We start from the raw sequence: 18,790 nt of genomic DNA on the forward strand, positions 1-18,790 counted from the left end.
CAAAAAAAAAAAAAAAAAAATCGCCAATAGGTAGGGAATAAGTTACCCCCTGCTAAATAAGTTACACTCACCTAGGCAAGGAAGGAACTCATAAACCACCTTCTAAACTGCTTGCCTTCCTCCCCGAAGTTCTGTAATTTAGAGGCGGTCACTACCACTGCTTGAACACCCCTTCCCAAGTCTGTACCACAAAAGGAGCTCTTGTGTAGCCCAGCCCCTCCTTCTCAGGACCCCAGGAGCCCAGACACACTAATGGGGACATTAGTTGCTTACTTTTCCAGCTACTGCTTAAGCTAGGCAGGCCATGAAGAAATAACGGTCTCAGTAACCTCCATGCTCGGGATACGACTCCCGGGAAGACGTGGGTGGGTGCGGGGAATGCGGACTGATCCCTCCCAGCGGCCGTTGGGGGCTGGCCCACAATCCCTCGCGAGGGCGGGAAAAGCAATGTGGTCGTTGCGGGGGGGGGGGGTCAGAAAAGGGGGACGGTCAGCGGGAAGAGCCAAGAGACTGCAACTCTACAAAGAGCACGCAGATTAATTCTAATGATTGTTCCCTGAGCTTTTCACACCAAAATAATGGTAACTGGCTAGTGTGTGCCCGTTACGCTCACTACTCCCACTCGAGATCATTCCTATTAATGACTCTGAGGCTTCACCTAACAGGCCACGGTGGAGGCAAGGAAATGTGGCGTGGAGAACCCACTGGGCCTGGCTCTCCGTCCTATGGTCTCCGTCCATCGTTTTACAGTCAGGGTGTACATTTGATGAGGAATCTCTAAATGGGATTTTGGGGAATCAAAACGGAATGGTGCATAAGTGTGAAAATTTACAAGACTGCGCAAAGCTGCAAGGCCCGGAGCCCCGTGCGGCCAGGCCGCAGAGCCGGCCCCTTCCGCTTTACGTCTGACGTCACGCCGCACGCCCCAGCGAGGGCGTGCGGAGTTTGGCTGCTCCGGGGTTAGCAGGTGAGCCTGCGATGCGCGGGAAGACGTTCCGCTTTGAAATGCAGCGGGATTTGGTGAGTTTCCCGCTGTCTCCAGCGGTGCGGGTGAAGCTGGTGTCTGCGGGGTTCCAGACTGCTGAGGAACTCCTAGAGGTGAAACCCTCCGAGCTTAGCAAAGGTAACGACTCCTGATGGCAAGCTGAGGCACACCGGCCGCCGTCAGCGCCGCCTCAGTCTTCGTTCTCTCGCCTCGGCCTTCAGCCCAGTCTCCGTTAGATTCTGCTTCCTCCCACGTCCATGTTTACAGCGTGAAAGAGCTCCTCGACTCCACTTACAAGTTGTCTGAATGGTTAGGAGAACTGTGGTCGTGAAAACATTTACTAATTGCTTTTCCTCTGGCAATGCCTGCTGAATGCTTTGAGGATTGTCTCATTTAACCCTCAACCCGCTTACGTAGATTATTATATTCAGTATATGGATGAGAGAACTGATATCTTGGGGAGCTTAGGTAACTTTTCATGCTAACTGGGTTAGGAAATACTGGAGTCAGAATTGGTTGTCTAATTTTTGCTGTTCCAAGATCCAAGGGGTAAGGGTTAAATTTCAGAAATGCAGGATTTTGTGTAGGACTAGAGACACTAAGAATGAGAAAGAGAGTAGAATCCCCGGAATCTTGAGGAAGCATAGAAAGAATATTCTCTTACGTAATTAACTGAAACACCCAAAACCTCATATTCCAGAGCATTGCAGATGGGAACCACTGCATCCTGAGACATACAAATATGAGGCTGGCGGTGGTCACTTGTTGTGCACATCTCTCTATGACATGTCTGGACCTGTGCTATTCACTGAAGAAGATGGAACAGAATTTTAAGTTACTGCCCTTACTGATGGAAAATACAGAGGTTTCAATTCGCCTCTAAAGAATAAGTCTCGTGGACCCAGCCTTAACTGTTTAAGTCATACCGCGCGCAGACTGTGTCCCCCAAGATTTGATGGGCTCTTTTTTCTTCAACAAGTTGGCTTTTCAAAGAAGAAATGTGAGACCCTGAATAATAATGATCACTAACAACTATTGACTACTTTAGATGGTCTTGATATTCTACCAAGCTTTTTACATGTATCGTCTCATTCCCATTTTATAGACGAAAAAAATCTGAGCAAAAAAGAAAAAGTGAAGTAACTTGCCCAAAGTCATGCAGTAAGTGGTGCCAGGATTTACAAACCCAGGCAATCTAATTCCAGCATTCAGGCTCTTGATAGGATTTTCATTTCCTAAATGCTGTCATCACCATTGTCTTTTATTAGCCCCATATTTATGGCTCATATTCTTATCAGATCAAGCACTGATATATCAAACTGATAAGTGATGTCATCCTCACCATTATTTCTTCACCAGCTTGTTTTGTAATTGCCATTTTCTTTTCTCAGGCCACACTGTCAGATGGGTGAAATTGTGTAGTCGAGGAAGCATAAATGTATTCTTTAAAATGCTTGTGCCTTGAATAATTGTTCTCATTAGTTTGGAGTGATACATGAATTTTTTACATCAGTTATTTCCATGAAAAGTTTTTATTATAAATAATACATGCATATGTGCTTCTTAAAGTTGTACCTTGTTTTAGGCAGTTAAAACATCTATTTTCATTCTCATCTGAAAAATAATTTGTATACCTTATGAGAGCGAGATAATTATGGCTTCATAAGACCAAAAGGGATAGTAAAAATATGGTAATAGTGAGTACATTTTTATTTCTGCTTCCTGAGACACTTGTAGGTACTCAGAAATGCTTTAGTTGAATTGTTTCTGAGGTAATAGGTAATTCTTTATGTGATGACTAAGAAAACGAATACCTTTATTAAGCTGAATTTTTTTTTTTTTTTTTTTGAGACGGAGTCTCGCACTGTCATCCAGGCTGGAATGCAGTGGTGCGATCCAGGCTGGAGTGCAGTGGTGCAGGTTCAAGTGATTGTCCTGCCTCAGCCTCCCAAGTAGCTGGAATTATAACGCGTGCCACCATGCCCGGCTAATTTTTGTATTTTTAGTAGAGACGGAGTTTCACCATGTTGGCCAGGCTGGTCTTCAACTCCTGACCTCAGGTGATCTGGCTGCCTCAGCCTCCCAAAGTACTGGGATTTTAGGCATGAGCCACTGTGTCCGGCCAAACTGAAAAATTAAATGGTTGATAGAATGTTGCATTTTTATGTTTCTCCACTCCTAGCATCACTGTTGTCTACAAATTAATAAAGACAATCGATTATCATGTTACACTTTTAAATCTCTAAAATTAGGGTTCTTTTTTTCTTATTTTACTTTCAGAAGTTGGGATATCTAAAGCAGAAGCCTTAGAAACTCTGCAAATTATCAGAAGAGAATGTCTCACAAATAAACCAAGATATGCTGGTACATCTGAGTCACACAAGAAGTGTACAGCACTGGAACTTCTTGAGCAGGAGCATACCCAGGGCTTCATAATCACCTTCTGTTCAGCACTAGATGATATTCTTGGGGGTGGAGTGCCCTTAATGAAAACAACAGAAATTTGTGGTGCACCAGGTGTTGGAAAAACACAATTATGGTAAAATAAAGTGTTCTCCTTTTAAGGGTGGGTTTAATAACATATTATGAAAGTAGTATTTTGTACTATCGTCAGGAAACCAAATAAGATATATATGTGCTCTTAATTTTAAGTGTGTATGTGCATTAAACAAAAATTAGCTTACTATTTGTGTTACTTCATTATCCCTTCTTGATAAATGTATGCAATTATTCTGATGTGAAAAAGTGTTTCTTTTGCAAATTGTACTGCAGTCATAAGGTTAAACAGGAAGTTTCTGCGTTATTCATTCCTGAGACTATATTTGAAAGTCAGATGTTTGAAAGTAGATTTATGGCTAGGGGTAGTGGCTCATGCCTATAATCCCAGCACTTTGGGAGGCCGAGGCAGGAGGATTGCTTGAGCCCAGGAGTTTGAGGCCTGCCTGGGCAACATAGTGAGACCTCGTCTCTACTAAAAATGGAAAATTAGCTGAGTGTGGTGGCACATGCCTGTGGTCCTAGCTACTTGGGAGGCTGAGGCAGGAGGATAGCTTGAGCCGGGGAGGTCAAAACTGCAGTGAGCCTTAATCACATCACTGGGCAGCAGAGTGAGACCCTATCTCAAAAAAAAAAGAGGCCGGGGATGGTGGCTCACACCTGTAATCCCAGCACTTTGGGAGGCTGAGGCGGGTGGATCACCTGAGATCAGGAGTTCAAGACCAGCCTAGTCAACATGGCGAAACCCCATCTCTACTAAAAATAAAAAAATTAGCCAGGCATGGTGGTTCACGCCTATAGTCTCAGCTCCTCGGGAGGCTGAGGCAGGAGAATCGCTTGTACTTGGGAGGTGGAGGTTGCAGTGAGCCGAGATCATGCCACTGCACTCCAGCTTGGGTGACAGAGCAAGACTCTGTCTCAAAAGAAAAAAAAAAAAGGTAGATTTATGTATAATAAGGGGCTCCATTTTGAGAGGCCTGGAAATGATTAAAATATTCTTAATTGGCTGGGCGCAGTGGCTGACGCTTGTAATCCCAGCACTTTGGGAGGCCAAGGCAGGCAGATCATGAGGTCAGGAGATCGAGACCATCCTGGCTAACACGGTGAAACCCCGTTTCTACTAAAAAATACAAAGAATTAGCCGGGCGTGGTGGCGGGTGCTTGTAGTCCTAGCTACTCGGGCAGCTGAGGCAGGAGAATGGCGTAAACCTGGGAGGCGGAGCTTGCAGTGAGCCTGGATCACGTCACTGCACTCCAGCCTGGGCGACAGAGCGAGACTCCGTCTCAAAACATAAATAAAATAAAATAAAATATCCTTAATCTTGGTTTTATAGGCATGCCCTCCCCGAATCCAGTTGATTTACATATAGTCGATTGGTTCACATTATATCTGGAGTCATGAAGAGTTAGACATTTCTGTTGCCTTGGGGAGTATATTTACATTTATAAAACTTTAGTGATACCTAACTTGTCATTATCTGGAGTTCAAAAACACTACCTTAGATCATCATCATGATTTGGTTGTTTGTCATCTTTCTGTTGACAGTATGCAGTTGGCAGTAGATGTGCAGATACCAGAATGTTTTGGAGGAGTGGCAGGTGAAGCAGTTTTTATTGATACAGAGGGAAGTTTTATGGTTGATAGAGTGGTAGACCTTGCTACTGCCTGCATTCAGCACCTTCAGCTTATAGCAGAAAAACACAAGGGAGAGGGTAAGTTAGTAAATGATCTTCTTTTTTTCTGTATTAATAAAAGTAATTTGCATTTGTGCCCATCTGAGACCTCAGCAACACTCCATTTGGAATGTGAAGCCTAATTACTGGACAGTTAACTAGTGTTAAACTCTTTTACTACTGTTACAAAATGAGAAATGCCACAGCCTGGACTGGCTTTTTTTTGTTCCCCTTTTATGGCCCTCACTTCTTCCTGTAGGAGCTTTGGGACAAAACCTATGTATGTATTTCAGTCATCATACTCCATCTTATCAGGTGTAAGTTAACGGTGCCGGACACCTTAATATAAGCAACTGTTGTTAAATGCTTTCCAATGTATAAGGACTTCCATATTGGTTTTCCAAAAACCAAAGGTAGCTTTGAAAACCACGTCTGAGGCCGGATGCAGTGCTCATGCCTGTAATCCCAGCCCTTTGGGAGGCCAAGGCGGGTGGATCACGAGGTCAGGAGTTCAAGACCAGCCTGGCCAACATGATGAAACCCTATCTGTACTAAAAATACCAAAATTAGCCAGGTGTGATGGCACATGCCTGTAATCTCAGCTACTAAGGAGGCTGAGGCAGGAGAATCACTTGAACTCAGGAGTTGGAGATTGCAGTGAGCCCAGATTACGCCACTGCACTCCAGCCTAGGCAACAGAGTGAGACTACTCTGTCTCTTAAAAAAAAAAAAAAAAACCAAAAAAAAAAACCACGTCTGAAATGTTTGGATTGTTAAGCAGATTGACTTGGGGGCTTTGATTATATAGCTGATTTCATAACTGCACTAATTGTTAAAGTGTTTGGGAGGTGTTGTTTTGGTGCTTGTTATGTGAAAATAAAGTGACTGTAAAACGATTTTTTTTTTTTTGAGACAAAGTTTCGCTTTTGCTGCCCAGGCTGGAGTGCAGTGGCACAATCTTGGCTCACTGCAACTTCCACCTCCTGGGTTCAAGGGATTCTCCTGCCTCAGCCTCCCGAGTAGCTGGAATTACAGGCATGTGCCACCACGCCCAGTTAATTTTGTATTTTTAGTACAGACAGGGTTTCTCCATGTTGATCAGGCTGGTCTCAAACTCCTGACCTCAGGTGATCCTCCCGCCTCAGCCTCCCAAAGTGCTGGGATTACGGGCGTGAGCCACCGCACCCGGCCAATTTTTTTTTCTTTTTTGAGACAGAGTCTTGCTCTGTGGCCCAGGCTAGAGTACAGTGGCGCGATCTCGGCTCACTGCAGCCTCTGCCTCCCAGGTTCAAGCAATTCTCCTGCCTTAGCCTCCTGAGTAGCTGGAATTATAGGCATGTGTTACCATGCCCAGCTAATTTTTTTTTTTTTTTTTTTTTTGAGACAGGGTCTCACTCTGTCGCCCAGGCTAGAGTGTAATGGCACAATCTCGGCTCACTGCAAGCTCTGCCTCCTGGGTTCATGCCATTCTCCTGCCTCAGCCTCCCAAGTAGCTGGGACTACAGGCACCCACCACCATGCCCAGCTAATTTTTTTTGTATTTTTAGTAGAGACAGGGTTTCACTATGTTAGCCAGGATGGTCTCGATCTCCTGACCTCATGATCTGCCTGCCTTGGCCTCCCAAAGTGCTGGGATTACAGGCATGAGCCACCGCACCCGGCCACACCCAGCTAATTTTTGTATTTTTTGTAGAGAGGGGGTTTCACCATATAGGCAAGTCAGGTCTTGAACTCCTGACCTCAGGTGATCTGCCCACCTCGGCCTCCCAAAGTGCTGGGATTATAGGCGTGAGCCACCACGCCCAGCCTTAAACAGTTTTTTGAAAGATAATTTATAGGCCGGGTGCAGTGTCTCATTCCTGTAAACCCAGCACTTTGGGAGGCCGAGGCGGGCGGATCACCTGAAGTCAGGAGCCATGGCGAAACCCCGTCTGTACTAAAAATACAAAAAATTAGCCGAGCATGGTGGCAGGTACCTGTAATCCCAGCTACTCAGGAGGATGAGGCAGGAGAATCGCTTGAACCCAGGAGGCGGAGGTTGCAGTGAGCCGAGATCGTGCCACTGCACTCCATTCTGGGCGACAAAAGTGAAACTCCTTCTCAAAAAAAAAAAAGGAAATTTATATTCAAGTTCTTATTCTTTCAATTACTTATAAATTAAATGGCTTATGGGTTGACTGTTTTCTTATTTATTTATTTATTTTAAGATGGAGTTGCGCTCTGTCACCCAGGCTGGAGTGCAGTGGCATGATCTCAGCTCACTGCAACCTCTGCCTGCTGGGTTCAAGCAATTCTCCTGCCTCAGCCTCCTGAGTAGCTGGGACTACGGGCATGTGCCACAATGCCCGGCTAATTTTTTGTTTTTTTAGCAGAGATGGAGTTTCACCATGCTGGCCAGGCTGGTCTCGAACTCCTGACCTTGTGATCTTCCCGCCTCGGCCTCCCAAAGTGCTGGGATTACAGGCATGAGCTACAGCGCCCGGCCTATTGTTTTCTTTTTCTTTGTTTTATTTATTTTTTGGATGTGCGGTCTTTATTCTTTCCAATAAAAGTTTTAAAAAAAATGCTTTTCATAAGATTTCCTTTAAATGAGTATATTTCCTTTAAATGAGTGTAGTCAGCTGGATTTTTTTTTTTCATGGAGGTACTAAGTGTCCCATTTCGCTGATGACCAGCATGGTTACTGAAAGCCCTTTGGACCCTAGCAGAATATGCCACCCTGAAATATGCCACTTTGGCATAAGGATTATTTTGAGCTGAAGGCAATTGAAAAGAAACAGATAAATCTGTCTGCCCTTCCTAAAAACAGGACATAAATGCACAGAAGAGTTCCATCTTCCCTCTCTTACAGGAAGACAAAAGTTAATCACCACAGACAACTTTAGACCATTATCAGCGTACATAACAAATTTTACTAGCTATCTTTTATCTCCAGTTAGTTTCAATATTTGCTGCCTTTAGAGACTTAGGGTCCTTTTCCTTTGTCTTGTTACTTCTCTAAAAATTTACTGTACCTTCGGGACGATAAGCTCAAATCTTTTTTTTTTGAGACAGAATCTGGCTCTACCGCCCGGGCTGGAGTGCAGTGGCGCAATCTTGGCTTACTGCGACCTTCACCTCCCAGGTTCAAGCGATTCTCCTGACTCAGCCTCCTGAGTAGCTGGGAGCTGCGAATACAGGCACGTGCCACCATACCTGGCTAATTTTTGTATTTTTAGTAGAGACAGAGTTTCATCATGTTGGCCAGACTGGTCTCAAACTTCTGACCTCAAGTGATCCTCCTACGTCGGCTTCCCTAAGTGCTGGGATTATGAGTGTGAACACCTGTGCCCAGCTCCAAATCTAACCAAACTTTTGAGTTACTAATCTCTGGACTCCCCTGTGTTGTTACATGCACTATGCACAATTAATAAACTCTTTCTCTTGTTAATCCATCTTTTGTCAGTCCGATTTACAGGGCTCCAGCCAAGAAACCTAAGAGGGTGGCAGGAAAAGGAGTTTTTCTTCCCTTATACCTTAAAGCTACCTATTTCACAATGTGTGTTTGTAATAGTGTCTTAAAACCTTACTGTAACTAGAGTAGGTGTAGCACTAGGATATAAAGTTTTTATTTTTATTTTAATTAATTAATTTATTTTTTAAGATGGGGTCTCAGTCCATCATCCAGGCTGGAGTGCAGTGGCGCGATCTGGGCTCACTGCAAGCTCTGCCTCCTGGGTTCACGCCATTCTCCTGCCTCAGCCTCCCAAGTAGCTGGGACTACAGGCACCCGCCACCACGCCTGGCTGACTTTGTATTTTTAGTAGAGATGGGGTTTCACCATGTTAGCCAGGATGGTCTCGATCTCCTGACCTCATGATCTGCCCACCTCAGCCTCCCAAAGCGCTGGGATTACAGGCGTGAGCCACCACACCTGGCCTAAAGTTTTTAAATGATTGATATGAGATTAAATTGTCATTGTTTTGGTGAAAATTTGACTCTGCTAAGTGTCTATTTGCAATAGGAAATGTTTTCTATTTTAAAATATAGCTTCTTGTTTTTTCAGTGTTAATATTTAAGTACATTTTATTTATTTTTAATATTTTACTTTTTGTGAAACAGGGTCTCACTTTGTCATCCAGGCCGGATTGCAGTGGCATGATCACAATTCACTGCAGCCTTGACCTCCCTGGGCTCAGGTGATCCTCTCACTTCAGCCCCCCAAGTAGCTGGGGCTACAGGTGGGCACTACCATGCCCAGCTAATTTTTTTTGCATTTTTTGTAGAGACGGAGTTTCACCATGTTGCCCAGGCTGGTCTTGAACTCACGGGCTCAAGAGATCTGCGTGCCTTGGCCTCCTAAAGTGTTAGAATTACAGGCGTGAGCCACCACGCCTGGCTAAGTGCATTTTAAAATGCAGTAACTGGCCGGGTGTGGTGACTCACTGCCTGTAATCCCAGCACTTCGGGAGGCAGAGGCAGGCAGATCACGAGGTCAGGAGATCGAGACCATCCTTGCTAACATGGTGAAACCCCGTCTCTACTAAAAATACAAAAAATTAGCCTGGCATGGTGGCGGGCGCCTGTAGTCCCGGCTGCTGGGGAGGCTGAGGCAGGAGAATGGCATGAACCCAGGAGGCAGAGCTTGCAGTGAGCTGAGATCACGGCACTGCACTCCAGCCTGGAGGACAGAGCAAGACTCCGTCTCAAAAAAATGAAAAAGAAAAAATGCAGTAACTGATTGGTTTCTCTCTGAAATATGTGCAAAATCAAACTTTTTTTTTTTTCTGAGACAGAGTCTTGCTCTGTCGCCCAGGCTGGAGTGCAGTGGCGGGATCTCAGCTCACTACAACCTCCGTCTCCCGGGTTCAAGCCAGTCTCCTGCCTCAGCCTCCCGAGTACCTGGGATTACAGGCATGCACCACCACACCAAGCTAATCTTTATATTTTTAGTCGAGATGTGTTTTACCATGTTGGCCAGGCTGGTCTTGAACTCCTGACCTAGTGATCCACCCAGCTTCCCAAAGTGCTGTGATTACAAGTGTGAGCCACCACGCCCAGCCTCAAACTGTTTGTTTTAAACATCCAATCTAAGAAAGATTTTATATAATTGTTGCCAGTTAAATATCAAATTATACTATAGCATTCAAGAGAAAAAATGCTTCATTTGAACATTTTTTCTAACTGTGTTTTATTTTTTTGTTTTTTTTTTTGAGACAGAGTTTTCATTCTGTCACCCAGGTTGGAGTACAGTGCCGCTATCATTGCTTACTGCAGCCTTGACCTCCCAGGCTCAAGCAATCCTCTCACCTTAACCTCCTGAGTAGCTACGACCAGAGTTGCACACCATCACACCTGACTAATTTCTGTATTTTTTGCAGAGATGGGGTTTTCCATGTTGCCCAGGCTGCCGTTAACTCTTAATTTGTAGTCCTATAGAAAAAAGCAAGAAAGAGAAACTTCCATTATGTTACTTCTGTTCAATGAAGCCAGTGACTAGAAATATGAAAAGGCAGGCATTAAAACACTAGTTGTATATGTTTATAAATAATTTTACATAGCCTAATATGTAAGGAAACAGTGGAAAAATGTGAAAATAATAGATCAGGTCGGGTGTGGTGGTTCATGCCTGTAATCCCAGGCGTGAATTTGGGAAGCTGAGGTGAGCAGATCACTTGAGGTCAGGAGTTCAAGACCGGCCTGGCCAACAAGGTGAAACCCCGTCTCTACTAAAAATACAAAAATTAGCTGGGCATGGTGGCGAGTGACTGTAATCCCAGCTACTCAAGAGGCTGAGGCAGGACAGTCGCTTGAGCCCAGGAGGCAGAGGTTGCAGTGTGCCAAGATCGCATCACTGCACTCCAGCCTGGGTGACAGAGTGAGACTTTATCTAAAAAAAAAAAAAAAAAATCAAGTGGCTGGGCACAGTGGTTTATGCCTGTAATCCCAGTGCTTTGGGAGGCTGGGGCAGGAGGATCCCTTGAGCCTAGGAATTCGAGGTTGCAGCGAGCTATGATTGTGCCACTGTGCTCCAGCCTGGGCGTCAGAGTGAGACCTTATCTCTAAACAGATTAAGAGAGACATCAGGTGGGGGGCGGCGACGGATAGCATTAGGAGATATACCTAATATAAATGACGAGTTAATGGGTACAGCACACCAAAATGGCACATGTATACATATGTAACCTGCACGTTGTGCACATGTACCCTAGAACTTTAATTAAAAGATCAGGAATTATGAACTGTTTATAGTAATTTTGCTATAATTTGTCATCTTTCAGTTAAAGAATTTTGTTATCCAAAGGAGAACATTTTGTTATTAAAAAGCATTGTTTTTCTACAATTGCCAATACATCCAAACAGGTAAAACTAATTAAGAGTGTTTTGTTGTTTCAGAACACCGAAAAGCTTTGGAGGATTTCACTCTTGATAATATTCTTTCTCATATTTATTATTTTCGCTGTCGTGACTACACAGAGTTACTGGCACAAGTTTATCTTCTTCCAGATTTCCTTTCAGAACACTCAAAGGTATGAGTCAGACTACTGAAATGTAACTAACCAAGTATTTTTTGAGGTGTTTGATAAGCATGAAAAAATAACCAGTACAGTAGCATAAAATCAAAGTCAAAGCCAATTGAGAAAATCTCTTCCTTCCTTGACCTACAATTTATTTATATTTATATTTGTTTTGTGTATGTATATGTATATATAGTTTATGCTCAGAGTAAGAAATTGAAATAATATAGAAGTTTCATTTCCAGTAATAGTGGAATAGCTCCTATCAAACCACATTGTATAGAAAGGTATGAAATGAAAAATAAAAACTTCCTTGTGCTACTGTTTTCTAGTGCCTCTCCCCAAAGGTGATCACTATTGGCCAGGTGCAGTGGCTCATACTTGTAATCCCAGCACTTAGGGAGGCCATGGTGGGAGGATCATTTGAGCCCAGTAGTTCAAAACCAGCCTGGGCAACATAGTAAGACATTGTCCCCACCAAAAAAAAAATTAGCCGTGTGTGGTGTAGCTGTAGTCTCAGCTACCAAGGGCTGGGTGGAGCAGGCCTGAGGTGGGAGGATTGCTTGAGCCCAGCAGTTCAAGGCTACATTGAGCTACCGTGCCATCATGTATCACCTTTTTTTTTTTTTTTTTTTTTTTTTTTGGGTAGAAATGGAGTCAACTCCTGGGGTTAAGCGATTCTCCCACCTCAGCCTCCCAGAGTGCTGGGATTATAGGCATGAGCCACTGTGCCTGGCCCTTTAATTTTGGTAAACATTATCAGTGACAAAGATTCTCCTTGACTGAACTTGGCCCCATCCTGTCTTTGGCCTACCCAGTCCAGTCTTAGCAAAGAATCCTGCTGTCAGTTCAGAGAGATTCTCTCACATTTGATAGTCTGAGCACCTTTGATACCTGATCACGTTCCTCATTCCCCACCTTTGATATTTAAATCCTTGGCTTGCCTTTATTTATTTATTTTTTATTTTTTAATTTGATGGAGTCTGGCTCTGTCGCCCAGGCTGGAGTGCATTGGCGTGATCTTGGTTCACTGCAACCTCTGCTTCCCGGGTTAAGGCAATTCTCCTGCCTCAGCCTCCCAAGTAGCTGGGACTACAGGCATGCGCCACAACGCCTGGCTAATTTTTTTTTTTTTTTATATTTTTGGTAGAAACAGGGTTTTGCATGTTGGCCAGGCTGCTCACCTGGCTGGCCTGCCATTAGTAAGAATCCTGTTCGGTCAGTTTAGCAAGAATTTCCCTACCCTTGATGTCTCACTGTTAGTAATTGTTCATCCACTGACCCCTTCACCTTGCTCTTGGTTGTGAATCCCCAGTTGTCCTTGTATTCTGATTTGAACCCAGTCTCTCTCCCCTATTGTGATACCCCTATTAGAATAGTCTTGAATACAGTCTCCTTACTGTTTTAAGAAGTGTTAGAATAATTTTTTCTTGAACACATATCGCCCTTCAGAAAGACTGCACCAATTTCTACTCTTACTGACAATATATGAGAATGCCTATTACCCATCATCCTGACCTTTTGAATATTTTTGCCAAGATTCTGCATGGAAAATGCCATCTCTTTGTTATTTTATTTATTTTAATTAATTAATTAATTTTTTTTTTGAGTCGCCCAGTCTGACTAACATGGCAAAACCCCGTCTCTACCTAAAAATACAAAAATTAGCCTGGTGTGTTGGCATGCACCTGTGATCCCAGCTACTTGGGAGGCTGAGACAGGAGAATCGCTTGAACCTGGGAAGCAGAGGTTGCAGTGTGCTGAGATCGTGACACTGCACTCCAGCCTGGGAGACAGAGAGACTCTGTCTCAAAATTAATAAATAAAAATTAAATAAATAAATACAATAGAAATTAATTTTCTTAGAGTTCTGGAGCCTAAAAGTTCAAGATCAAAGTTCTAGCTGATTCAGTTTCTGGCAAGGGCTTTCTTCCTGGCTTGCAGACAGCCATCTTTTCTCTGTGTCCTCATATGATAGGGAGGAAAAGAAGGAGAGAGTGAATTCCCTGGTGTTTTTTCTTTTTTTTGGGGGGGGGGTGGAGTTTCGCTTTTGTCACCCAGGCTGGAGTGCAATGGCGTGATCTCAGCTCACTACAACCTCCACCTCCCGGATTCAAGCGATTCTCCTGCCTCAGCCTCCAGAGTAGCTGGGACTACAGGCGCATGCCACCACGCCTGGCTAATTTTTGTATTTTTAGTAGAGACAGGGTTTCCCCATGTTGGCCAAGATGTTCTCGATCTCCTGATCTTGTGATCCGCCCACCTCGGCCTCCCAAAGTGCTGGGATTACAGGCGTGAGCCACCGTGCCTGACCCCTAATATTTCTTCTTACAAGGACGCTAATCATCTTAGATTAGGGTCCCATCTTTATGAACTTATTTGATTACTTCCTTAGAAGTCCTTTCTCCACATACATTCACATTGGGGTTTAGGGATTCAACATACGAATTTTAAGGGGACATAATTGAGTTCCCAGAAGTTTGCCCCTGGCCCCTTGCCCCCCTACCCCCTACCTGCCCGCCAAATTCATGTTTTTCTTGTATCCATTCCATCCACACAGCCCCAAACGTCTTAACCGGTTCCATCATCAACTCTAAAAGTCCCAGGCTTCATCTAAATATTATCTAAATCAGAGATTGGTGAGACTCAAGTTATAATTCATCCTGAAGTGAAATTCCCTTCCAGCTGTGAACGTTTGAAATCAGGCAAGTTATATGCTTTCAAAATACAATAGTAGGAAATGCATAGGATGAACATTCCCAAAAGGATTATGGGTGCCTAGCAAGGCAAATTTCATTGGACCATAAGGCTCAAGAATAATCCTTTGCTGGCCAGGCACGGTGGCTCATGCCTGTAATCCCAGCACTTTGGGAGGCTGAGGCAGGCAGATCACGAAGTCAGGAGTTTGAGACCACCCTGGCCAATATGGTGAAACCCTGTCTCTACTAAAAATACAAAAATTAGCCGGGCATGGTGGTGCGTGCCTGTAGTCCCAGCTACTAGGGAGGCTGAGGCAGAAGAATCACTTCAACGCAGGAGGCAGAGGAGATTGCAGTGACATGAGATCATGCCACTGCACTCCAGCCTGAGTGACAGAGTGAGACTCCATCTCAAAAAAATAATAATAATTAAAAAAAGAATGATCCTTTGCTTTGATGCTCTGCCTTCCAGGCCCACTGCAGTAGCAGAATCACCCTACTGCTCTGTGGGGTGGCCCTGCCCCTTCCTCTCTCTGCAAGGGCCCCACCCTCTGAAACCAAGGACGACATAGCATTGCCCCCTGGGCTTATGGTAAGAGTGACAGCTCTGAGGATCTGTGATCCCCTTTGGCACCATTCTTTCCTTTTCTTGAGGAATAGGGCACATTCACAGTCAAGTAGCTCATGGTTTTCTCTTGTGGAATCAAGGAAGTCCAACAGCCTTCGTTCATTCTTTCCCACTTACTCTGTCCTCTTTACTTCAAACTAGCAGTGTTTCTGCTGTTATAATCCCTTATCTATCACTGGCTTCTGCTGAGATGGCTGATTAACATCATGGATAATCTATTTATAGAGTCATTGTTCAACCGTACCTTTGGTCTTCTCTCTAGAGCAAGCTTTCTTATTTTTAGCAATATGGATAGGCTGAGAATTTTCTACATCTCTAAGTTCTGGTTCCTTCTTGCTGAACAATTCCTTCTTCAATTCATCTGTCTCCTCTTTCATTTTTACTATAAGTGGTCTAGGAGAAACCAAGCCACTTCCTCTACACTTTGCTTAGAAATCTCCTGAGATAAATAGCCAATTTCATTTCTCACAAGTTTTACCTTCCATAAAATACTAGAACACAGCCAAGTTCTTTGCCACTTTATACTAAGCACCAGCTTTCCTTCAGTTTCCAGTAACTTGTTCCTCATTTCTGTATAAATCCTCACCAGAATAGCCGGGCATGGTGGCTCACACCTGTAATCCCAGCACTTTGGGAGGCTGAGGTGGGCGGATTGCCTGAGGTCAGGAGTTCAAGACCAGTCTGGCCAACATGGTGAAACCCCGTCTCTACTAAAAATACAAAAAAATTAGCTGGGTGTGGTGGCGTGTGCCTGTTAATCCCAGCTACTAGGGAGTCTGAGGCGGGAGAATTGCTTGAACCAGGGAGGTGGAGGTTGCAGTGAGCCAAGAACGCACCACTGCACTCCAGCCTGGGCAACAGAGCGAGACTCCATCTGAAAAAAAAAAAAAGCCTCACCAGAATTGCCCTTAATGTCCATATTTTCAGTATGTGCCTCAAAACTGTTCCAGCCTTTGCTTATTACCCAATTTGAAAATCACTTCCACATTTTAGGTATTTGTTATAGTAGTACCTTGCTTCTCTCACTACCTAACCCACCATACCTCATTTCTTGATACTAAAATTTGTTGTGGTCACCTCAGGCTGCCATAACAAAAATACTATAGTCTGAGTGGCTTGAACAACAGAAATTTTATTTTCTTACAGTTCTGGAGACTAGAAGCTCAAGATAAGGTTCTGGCTGATTGGTCTCTGGTGAGAGCTCTCTCCCTGGCATGTAGATGGCCACCTTCTTGCTGTGTCCTCATGGGGAGGAAGGAGGAAGAGTGAGCTCTTTGGTGTCTTTTCTTCAAGGACACTAATCCTCTCAAATCAGGATGTCATTCTCATGACCTAATTTTACGTTAATTACTACCTTAGAGGCCCTCTCTCCAAATACAGTCACACTGGGAGATAGGGCTTCAATTTACGAATATTGGGGGGACACAGCAGTGGTCATGTGTGGAGTCATGAAAAATCGAATCAACCTGTGCACATATTCCCAGCTGACGTTGAACAAGGTCATGTTCTGCCTTTTTATTTCAGCTCTCTACTGTAAACAAGTGTCCTTTTCACAGTCTTTATAATGCCACTTTTTTTTGCATTTTTGTGCTTTTTATTAGTGTTCACCTGTTCTTCATCACTTCAACCAGTTTCATTTTCTTATAATTATCGGAAATTACCTTATTTGTGTGTTTGTTTGCATATTAATGGTCCCTTACTCCACTAAAACATAACCTCCAAGAGAGCAGGGACCTTCTCTCTTATTTACTATATTCTTCTCTCTTATTTACTATATCATCCCCAATGCCTGGAACAGTAAATAGCATATAGGAAAGGAGGTGTCAATTAATACTTGCTAAATGAAGAAACAAATACTCTAAATAAAACAACTTACTTAGGCATTGCTTCATAAAAGCCTCTTGTTTAATCCAACCCTTACTAGATAGAAAAAAACATAGCATTGGAGTCTTTTGTTTGTTTACATTTGGGTTAGTTTCCAGATTCTTTTTGATTTGGGGATCTTAAGGTTTATATATTGGTTTATTTTTCTAACTTCACTGTTTATTTTTTGCTTTGGGGGGGGCTTTCTTTTGAAAGGGTTTTGCTCTGTCCCCCAGGCTGGAGTGCATGGCAGGGTTTCACCACGTTGGCCAGGCTGGTCTCAAACTCCTGACCTCGTGATCCACCTGCTTCGGCCTCCCAAAGTGCTGGGATTACAGATGTGAGCCACCGCGCCCAGCCTGAAGGTTTTTTTGTTTTTTGTTTTTTGTTTTAGGAAACATAAAAAGAACCCGGAAGGTAAAATTGGTATATTTAATTGACAAATGTGTTGTTTTACCAAGACTTTTTCTTTAAGCCTTTTCAGAATGTTTTACAAAGACTTTAAATGTGCTTTTTATCAGTAAAGACTGTGTACAGTGGCAAGTTAAAGAAAATTATAATTATTCCTTTTTCTTTTTGAATTACTTTTTTTTTTTTTTTTTTTTGAGACAAAGTCTCACTCTGTCGCCCAGGCTGGAGTACAGTGGCGCAACCTCTGCCACCAGGGTTCAAGAGATTCTCCTGCCTCAGCCTCCTGAGTACCTGGGATTACAGGTGCCTGCCACTGTGCCTGGCTAATTTTTGTAGTTTTAGCAGAGATGGGGTTTCACCATCTTGGCCAGGCTGGTCTTGAACTCCTGACCTCGTGATCCACCTGCCTCGGCCTCCCAAAGTGCTGGGATTACAGGTGTGAGCCACCGCGCCCAGCCTTTGAATTACTTTTTTAAAGTTGAGAAATTATCAAAGCAGAGTCCGTTTTAACTTTTAGTGATTATTGCAGAAAGCACTGGCTGAACAGCTTTGTAACTTTCCAAAAGAAAGCCATACTTTAGACAGTTGGAAATAAAGCCCTGGGTTTTAAGGTTTTTTCCTGTAATGGACTATGGTTTTTCCAATGCTATGTTTTTTTCTATCTAGTAAGGGTTGGATTAAAGAAGAGGCTTTTATGAAGCAATGTCTAAGTAAGTTGTTTTATTTAGAGTATTTGTTTCTTCATTTAGCAAGTATTAATTGACACCTCCTTTCCTATATGCTATTTACTGTTCCAGGCATTGGGGATGATATAGTAAATAAGACAGAAGAATATAGTAAATAAGAGAGAAGGTCCCTGCTCTCTTGGAGAGAGAGAGCATTTTTATTATTATTATTTTATTTTTCGTAACAAATCTAATATTATCTCTTCTGTATTTAGGTTCGACTAGTGATAGTGGATGGTATTGCTTTTCCATTTCGTCATGACCTAGATGACCTGTCTCTTCGTACTCGGTTATTAAATGGCCTAGCCCAGCAAATGATCAGCCTTGCAAATAATCACAGATTAGCTGTAAGTATTAACTAGTGAAGAGAGTTTTATAACAAAGTCAAGACTGTATAAAATGTTAATGTCTAGAAATGTCAAAATAGCGTTTGCCTGACAAATAATATAGACATGCAGTTTTGAGTAAAGTTACGTTTGGTTGGTTTCCATTAAAAAATTCTGGTCATAAGTGTCAGTTTTCCTGGAAAATAACAAGCATAATTAATGGACTTTGTGGTTGAGCGCGGTAGCTCGTGCCTGTAATCCCAGCACTTTGGGAGGCCGAGGCAGGTGGATCATGAGGTCAGGAGTTTGAGACCACCCTCGCCAACATGGTGAAACCCTGTCTCTACTAAAAAAAAAAAAAAAAAAAAAAAACCAAAAATTAGCCCGGTGTGGTGGCATGCCCCTGTAATCCCACCTACTCGGGAGGCTGAGGTAGGAGAATCACTTGAACCCAGGAGGCGGAGGTTACAGTGGGTGGAGAACGCG

The 18,790-nt window shown here is 43.4% G+C and overlaps 3 protein-coding genes across 13 annotated transcripts in view, besides 5 other annotated features; 1 reads left to right on the top strand and 2 right to left on the bottom strand.

Moving 5' to 3' along the window:
- The window catches only part of TEX14 (testis expressed 14, intercellular bridge forming factor), a 135,368-nt gene extending 134,988 nt beyond the window's left edge, over positions 1–380 (bottom strand). For all 3 annotated transcript variants that reach the window (NM_031272.5, NM_198393.4, NM_001201457.2), the window contains exon 1: positions 274–380. The gene's annotated coding sequence lies outside the window, so the exon portion shown is untranslated. The remainder of the gene's footprint in view (positions 1–273) is intronic.
- Positions 1–380, bottom strand: part of IGBP1C (IGBP1 family member C) — a 31,622-nt gene extending 31,242 nt beyond the window's left edge. Inside the window, exon 1 of the mRNA NM_001395966.1 lies at positions 274–380. The gene's annotated coding sequence lies outside the window, so the exon portion shown is untranslated. The remainder of the gene's footprint in view (positions 1–273) is intronic.
- Positions 695–794: an enhancer, noted in NCBI's record as "active region_12490". NCBI's record gives its function as "activates an Ori minimal core promoter by ATAC-STARR-seq in GM12878 lymphoblastoid cells {active_cell/tissue: GM12878}" and the evidence as "EXISTENCE:reporter gene assay evidence [ECO:0000049][PMID:35858748]".
- RAD51C (RAD51 paralog C) overlaps positions 908–18,790 on the top strand; it is a 43,039-nt gene continuing 25,156 nt past the window's right edge. For 3 of the 9 annotated variants that reach the window (XM_006722001.5, NM_058216.3, XM_006722002.5), the window contains exons 1-5: positions 937–1,123; positions 3,266–3,524; positions 5,028–5,194; positions 11,531–11,664; positions 18,194–18,325. In XM_006722001.5, the coding sequence (XP_006722064.1) occupies positions 979–1,123; positions 3,266–3,524; positions 5,028–5,194; positions 11,531–11,664; positions 18,194–18,325 (837 nt within the window). In that variant the 5' untranslated portion in view covers positions 937–978. The other 6 variants (XM_006722004.4, XM_047436505.1, XM_011525094.3 and 3 more) reach the window with 6 other exon arrangements.
- Positions 1,125–1,294: an enhancer, noted in NCBI's record as "active region_12491". NCBI's record gives its function as "activates an Ori minimal core promoter by ATAC-STARR-seq in GM12878 lymphoblastoid cells {active_cell/tissue: GM12878}" and the evidence as "EXISTENCE:reporter gene assay evidence [ECO:0000049][PMID:35858748]".
- Positions 8,400–8,568: a silencer, noted in NCBI's record as "fragment chr17:56777426-56777594 (GRCh37/hg19 assembly coordinates)". NCBI's record gives its function as "represses an EF-1alpha promoter that drives an FKBP-Casp9 reporter gene in an ReSE screen in HepG2 liver carcinoma cells {active_cell/tissue: HepG2}" and the evidence as "EXISTENCE:reporter gene assay evidence [ECO:0000049][PMID:32094911]".
- Positions 11,560–11,760: a silencer, noted in NCBI's record as "peak2919 fragment used in MPRA reporter construct". NCBI's record gives its function as "represses an SCP1 promoter by STARR-seq MPRAs in K562 erythroleukemia cells {active_cell/tissue: K562}" and the evidence as "EXISTENCE:reporter gene assay evidence [ECO:0000049][PMID:32103011]".
- Positions 15,497–15,546: an enhancer, noted in NCBI's record as "active region_12492". NCBI's record gives its function as "activates an Ori minimal core promoter by ATAC-STARR-seq in GM12878 lymphoblastoid cells {active_cell/tissue: GM12878}" and the evidence as "EXISTENCE:reporter gene assay evidence [ECO:0000049][PMID:35858748]".

The sequence above is a fragment of the Homo sapiens genome, chromosome 17 (assembly GCF_000001405.40).
Source record: "Homo sapiens chromosome 17, GRCh38.p14 Primary Assembly".
In the NCBI taxonomy this organism is placed as follows: Eukaryota; Metazoa; Chordata; class Mammalia; order Primates; family Hominidae; genus Homo; species Homo sapiens.